This window comes from Homo sapiens, chromosome 13 (assembly GCF_000001405.40).
Source record: "Homo sapiens chromosome 13, GRCh38.p14 Primary Assembly".
Classification (NCBI taxonomy): domain Eukaryota; kingdom Metazoa; phylum Chordata; class Mammalia; order Primates; family Hominidae; genus Homo; species Homo sapiens.
The window spans coordinates 25,087,332-25,094,408 of NC_000013.11; the positions used below are offsets into that span (position 1 = coordinate 25,087,332).

The 7,077-nt window shown below is 44.4% G+C and overlaps 1 annotated feature.

Moving 5' to 3' along the window:
- Positions 2,636 to 3,136: an enhancer, noted in NCBI's record as "H3K4me1 hESC enhancer chr13:25664105-25664605 (GRCh37/hg19 assembly coordinates)". NCBI's record gives its function as "activates a minimal SCP1, AML or CMV promoter by ChIP-STARR-seq in naive H9 embryonic stem cells {active_cell/tissue: H9 hESC(naive)}" and the evidence as "EXISTENCE:reporter gene assay evidence [ECO:0000049][PMID:30033119]".

Genomic DNA, 7,077 nt, shown 5'->3' on the forward strand with positions numbered 1-7,077 from the left:
TCTTTTTTATGGTTACATGATATTTCGTGGTGTATGTGTGCTGCAGTTTCTTTATCCAGTCTGCCATTGATGGACATTTAGCTTGATTCCATGTCTTTGCTATTGTGAATAGTGCTACAGTGAACATATGCATACATATGTCTTTATGGTAGAACGACTTATATTCCTTTGGGTATATACCCAGTAATGGGATGGCTGGGTTGAATGGTAGTTCTATTTTTAGCTCTTTGAGGAATCTTCACACTGCTTTCCACAATGGTTGGACTAATTTACACTCCCACCAACAGTGTCTAAGCATTCCCTTTTCTCCACAACCTTGCCAGCACCTGCTATTTTTTGACTTTTTAGTAATAGCCATTCTGACTGGTGTGAGATATCTCACTGTGGTTTTGATTTGCATTTCTTTAATGATCAAAATGACTAAAATTCCTAACCTCCAATTACAACAGGTAGAGGCTCCCAGACGTAACACTAGGTGGAGACCCCCTGAGCTGGGCCATTTCTGTAAGAAGCCAGGCCACTGGAAAAGAGATGGGTGCAAAAGAAAAATGGAATCTCTTTCTCAACTCCTCCTCCTCCACCACCTACACTTAGAGACCGCTCTCAATGAAGGGGCTTCAAGAACTCATAGGGACTTTTTGCAGTTCTTACTTCTTCATCTGCATGAAATGATCCTTCAAGGTGGGAATGAGATACAGGACTAACACTATCAGTCCTTCACCCCACCAGCCTCAGTCAGCTCCTGCCTGGGAGTAATAGGAAGACAAACGGTGGGGCTTTCCCAGGAGGCTTTACCTGCTTTGTTTAGCAGCCCATTCCATTCTGCCTTGGCCCTCTCCAGGACACCCATCCCTCTCCAGGACACCCATCCCTCTCCAGGACACCCATCCCATTGTGCTTGTTCATTCTGCCCCTGTCCACCTCTTTAGATGTGATTTTCTGAAAAGATTACTACACTATTTTTTTTTTTCCTGAAAGGGGAAAACTGTTTTAGAATTTGACACACCAAACTGTACTGACTCAGCCTGGCAGTCTTCTGCCTCCCTGACTTCTCTCATGTGTTATATTGTTCAGAAAACAAAACTAATGTCACCCCTTCACTGCTGGACCAAATGCCTGGCTCTTTATGGGCAAAATAACTGACGTTGGCACAATTCATAGCACCCTTCCTCTGAAAATCCAGATTGATCCATCCAAACCCCTGCCTAACATTAAACAATATCCACTCAACCAGATGGTTCCAAACCTATTATAGAAGAATCCAAAAAAAGGGCTCGTTTTTCTATGAACTGGTCCTGGTAATACCCCAATTCTACCGAATAAAAAATTCTACCTAATAAAAAAACCAAACAACTGTGGGTAGAGGTTTGCTCAGGGCCTCTGAGGAACAAACCCATTGTTGTTCCAAGGCATACAGTGGTTTCAGCCACCACACTGTACTAAACCCAGCACTCACTGACAGCAGAACTTTCACCATCGTTGATCCGTGAAGTGCATGTGCAGTGTTATGCTGGATCCGGCCAGCTGAGAGCTTTTTCCTTTTACCTGGGAAGGCCAACAATTCACCAGGACAGGAAGGCCCCAGGATTTTACTGAAAGCCCTTCCTATTTTTCTCAAATATGAAAGGCGGACTTGGAGGATGTGGGTTTTCCCCTAGGCTCGACTTTACCACCATATGCAGATGACGTCCTTCTTTGCTCGCCTTCAAAGGTAGCCTGTGAGAAAGACTGCACATCTGTCAAAGCATCTGGCTGCCAAAGGACAAAAAGCCTCTCAAGAAACCTGAAGCTTGGCCAGGTGTGGTGGCTCATGCCTGCAACCCGAGCACTTTGGGAGGCCAAGGTGGGAGGACTGCTTGAGGCCAGAAGTTCAAAAACAGCCTGGTTAACATAGCGAGAGCCTGTCTCTATAATTTAACAATTTAAAAATTAGCCAGGTGTGGTGGTGCACTTGTAGTCCCAGCTACTTGAGAGGCTAAGGTGGGAGAATCACTTGAGCCCAGGGGGCTGAGGCTGCAGTGAGCAGTGATTGAACCTCTGCCCTCCAGCCTGGGTGACAGAGGGAGACCCTTTCTTAAAACAAACAAAAACTGCAGTTAGTAAAAACTTGGGTGAAATATTTGGGCTGTTCAATTTCAGAGAATGGATTTTAGATTCATTTAGATCCTGAGCTCAAGATGTTTTGCAATTTCCTCAGCAAAAGCCAAATGCCAACTCTGCGGTTTCTCAGATTTGCTGGTTACTGTCGTAGCTGAGTCCCTGGCTTTTCTTTCCTGGTCCAATTGCTATATGCTCTACATAAGTTACCAAACCTGCCCCCATTACTGGGACAGGATCTGAAGAGCAAGTTTCCAACAAACTAAAGGAGAAGTTGGCAAATCTTCCAGCTCTGGTTCATCCTAATTAGAAATTCCCCTTTTCCCTCTTTGTGTATGAAAAGGAAGGCAGCGCTTTGGGGATCTTAAGCCACAAGCATGGAGGCCAATGCCACCTTCTGGGACACTGTAGTCAACAACTCGATCCCATTGCCGGTGGAGTCCCTTCTGTCTGAGAGCAGTCCCCGCTGCAGCCCTGTTAGTCAAGGCAACTGAGGGATAGCTGTGGGACCCCCAAGTGTATGTGAGCCTCGAGCTGTGGATGCTCTCACACCTGCACCAGGCCTGGCAGCTTCCTGCCTACTCCCTCACTCCCTGCGGCCCCTGCAGCTCCTGCTCCTCCCACTCTCGCACCTGTAGTAACCTTACTCATGCAACTCTCCTGCCCTCTCCTTCAGGCCAGACTCCGCACACCTGCCTGACTCTGAGACCTCTTATCCCCTCGGTAGGGTCTGCAAGAGGCTCCCCTGGACAATGCTGAGCTGTCCTGGTTTACAGATGGCTCACATTTAAAGATCAGCTCTGGTCGGTATTACGCAGGCCATGCAATCACTACTGCCTTTGAAGTCGTGGAAGTGGCTGGTTTGTCTGTAGCCACTTCAGCCTGGCAGGCAAAGCTCTTTGACCTCCCCAAGGCAGTCTCCTTGCTGAGGAAAGACTGCTAAGGCTTGTACAGACAGCAGGGATGCTCTTGGAGTTGCCTGTGATTTTAGAATGCTGTGGAAGCAAGGAGACTTCCTCGCTTCCAACAGAGACAAAATAAAGAATGGGTCTTATGTACAAAAATTATTAAATACAACACAGCTACCTGCTGCCCTAGCCATTGTCAAAGCTCGGGGCCATTCAGAACTAGACTCTGGGCCGGGTGCGGTGACTCATGTCTGTAATCCCAGCACTTTAGGAGGCCGAGGCTGGGTGGATCACCTGAGGTCAGGAGTTTGAGACCAGCCTGGCCAACATGGTGAAACCCCATCTCTACTAAAAAATACAAAAATTAGCTGGGCGTGGTGGCGGATGCCTGTAATCCCAGGTACTCAGGAGGCTGAGGCAGGAGAATCACTTAAACCTGGGAGGCAGAGGTTGCAGTGAGCTGAGATCATGCCACTGTACTCCAGCTTGGGTGACTGAGGGAGATTTGGTCTCAAAACAAAACAAAACAATACAAAACTACACTCAGTGGGAATAATGGACACTGGAGACTCCAAAAGGTGGAAGGGTGGGAGGGAGGTCAAGGTTGAAAAATTACCTATTGGGTACAGTGTTCGCCAGTCTGGTGATGGGTACACTTAAAGGTCCGGACTTTACCACTACACAATATGTGCATGTAAGAAACCTGCACTTGTACCTCCTGAATATGTTGAAATAAAAATTAATTTTTTAAAAAAGAAACTAGGCTCCATGGAAGCTAGAGGAAATCACATTGCTGGTCACGCAGCAAAGGATGCTGCCCTTAAAGGGCCTATTGACAAATCTCCGTCATGGCCCAGCTAAAAAGGTTCCTGAAAGATAATCTTAAAACAATTACTAAAGATGCACAGAATTAGGCACCAGAGGCCAAAAAATAAAAGTGGGAAAATAATGTCTGCTGGTTCAATGATCAAGAAGAACTCTGGTTTTGGGCAAATGAAAATCCTGTCCCACACAACACTCGATGAGATTTCCATTATTAACTACTGTACATGACTTAAGTCATTGGCTACAGAAAAGATAATGATCTTTATGAGACAATACTGGTAGAGTAATATCAATGAAGTGGCCAAGGCCAAGTGCAGTGGCTCACACTTGTAATGCCAACACTTTGGGAGGCTGAGGCGGGCAGATCACCTGAGGTCAGGAGTTTGAGACCAGCTGGCCAACATGGCGAAACCCCGTCTCTACTAAAAATACAAAAATTAGCTGGGCGTGGTGGGTGCCTGTGATCCCAGCTACTCAGGAGGCTGAGGCAGGAGAATCGCTTGAACCCAGGAGGTGGAGGTTGCAGTGAGCTGAGATCATGCCATTGCACTTCAGCCTGGGCAACAGAGTGAAACAAACAAACAAACAAAAAAATGAAGTGGCCAAAAATGCTTAGTTGGCCTGCCCCACTCATCCTAAGCTCAATCTTGGAAAGCCAGTGCACACAACCCCTGCCATTTTCACCACCCTCAGAGTTCCACAGAGCTCCACAGCCACCAAGGAACTGTAACTGTATCCCCTGTTCAAAAATTTAAAAACATAAAAATACATGAAAAGCAAGAAAAAATACATGTTTAAAAGAAAAACCCAGAGTGGTGAATATTAGTGTGTTATCTGAGAAATACTCCCTATCTTAGAATGAGTTCCTCATGCCCGTTAACACCCATGTTGTAAGGTGAACATTTGCTAGCCTCATCCAGACAGAATGGACCAAGAGCAGGCGTGTGTCTTTGTTGGCCAGCTTGGTTAATGAGATGAGATTAGACATGCTCCTTCTTCACCTCTTCACCAGACTCACAGACTCTGACCAATGAAAATGGTCTTAATTATGATTTTCTTTCTATTCATTGTCTGTTGGGTTCCTACCTATGCTGATTTTCACAGTCTTGAAAGTGTGTATTTTTTTAAAAACATTTTTTTAATTTCCAACTTTTATTTCAAGTTCAGGGGTACATGTGCAGGATGTGCAGGCTTGTTACATAGGTAAACGTGTGTCATAGTAGTTTGCCGCAAAGATCATCCCATCACCCAGGTATTAAGCCAGCATCCATTAGCAATTCTTCCTGATGCTCTCCCTCCTCCCCCTGCACCCTCCAGCAGACTCCAGTGTGTGTTGTTCTCCCCCTGTATGTTCATGTGTTCTCGTCATTTAGCTACCACTTACAAGTGAGAGCATGTGGTATTTGGTTTTCTGTTCCTGCGTTAGTTTGCTAAGGATAATGGTCTCCACCTTCATCCATGTCCCCATAAAGAACATGATCTCGTTTCTTTCTATGGCTGTATAGTATTCCATGGTATATATGTATCACATTTTCTTTATCCAGTCTATCATTGATGGGGATTTATGTTGATTCCATGTCTTTGCTATTGTGAACAGTGCTGCAATGAACATATGCATGCATGTATCTTTTAATAGAATGATTATATTCCTTTGGGTATATACCCAGTAATGGGATTGCTGGGTCAAATGGTATTTCTGCCTCTAGATCTTTGAGGAATCACCACACTGTCTTCCACAATGGTTGAACTAATTTACACTCCCACCAACAGTGTAAAAGTGTTTGTTTTTCTCCACAACCTCACCAGCATCTGTTGTTTTTTGATTTTTAGTAATAGTCAGTCTGACTGATGTGAGATGGTACCTCATTCTGGTTTTGATTTGCATTTCTATAGTGATCAGTGATGTTGAGCTTTTTTTCATGTTCATTGGTCACATGTATGTCTTCTTTTGAGAAGTGTCTATTCATGTTCTTTGCCCAAAAGTGTGTATTTTTGTACTTCTCTATTTGGACAAGTACAGAAGTGTCATTTTGTATGTTTCTATTTGGACAATATGTGTAGGTGCAACATTTACAACCCCACTGTACAATCTGACACCATTGTCCACAATAATATGTCAACAGGGTAGCCTGACAGCCCATATTTGAGGCTTTCCACTTTTAATTCTTTTTTAAACATAAGAATCGACTTTATTCTGCCTTATTTGTGCATAAGACTACCTTCAGTATTATCTGACGACAAACCAAAGACTAGATGTTTTCTACAGATTACCAACTCTCCAGAAGAGAAGCAGTCAAACTTATAATTGCTAAAAATCATGAAATGAAAAGGAAGCTCCACAAAAGGGAAGAGGGAAAGTGTAGGAATTAGACATGGGGATTTCCATTCCCTGTTACTCTGGAAACCATGGTGACTGAGAGCTGTGATTAAACCATATAATATGCCGATATAAACTTAGAAGAATCTGGGAAAGAAGAAATTTCTCTGGCCAGGTGTGGTGGCTCACGCCTGCAATCCCAGCACTTTGGGAAGCCGAGGTGGGTGGATTGCTTAAGCTCAGGAGTTGGAGAGCTCAGGAGTTCCAGACCAGCCTGGGCAATATGGCAAAACCCCATCTCTACCAAAAATACAAAAATTAGCTGGGTGTGGTGGCATGTGCCTCTAGTCCCAGCTACTTGGGAGGCTGAGGTGGGAGGATCTCTTAAGCCTGGGAGGTGAAGGCTGCAGTGAGCTGCGGCCACTGCACTCCAGCCTGGGCAACAGAGTGAGGCCCTGTCTTCAAAATAAAAATAATAATAATAATAAATAAATCCCTTCTATCTATTCAGTTCCTTTTCCTTCCAGACAAAATTTTTCCACACAAATCAATTTGTTTGCTAACTGCATCAGGATTTTCTCTAAACCATAATACAATCGGCAGATTAGTTGTCCAGTGGAAATAACCTTCTCCTGTATGGTCTAGGCTTGTTTTAAATGCTCTACCATCACTGGGCTTGGGATTGCAATCCTCAAAACTTCTGGGAAATCTGAAAATGAAGTTACAAATTAAATCATAGGTCTCCAAGAAGCCTGGAATTTTGATACATTCATCCCGGTTTTCTTCCACCCAAGTGTATATTCCGTGGGCTGTATCTGTGGGGAATCTGCTTTCCTGCCCATGAACACACCGAAATGGTTCTGCGAAGATGCCTTTCTCTGGAAGAGCATTTTGCTTTTGTTAATGAGGCAGAAAATCGATCTCATATTG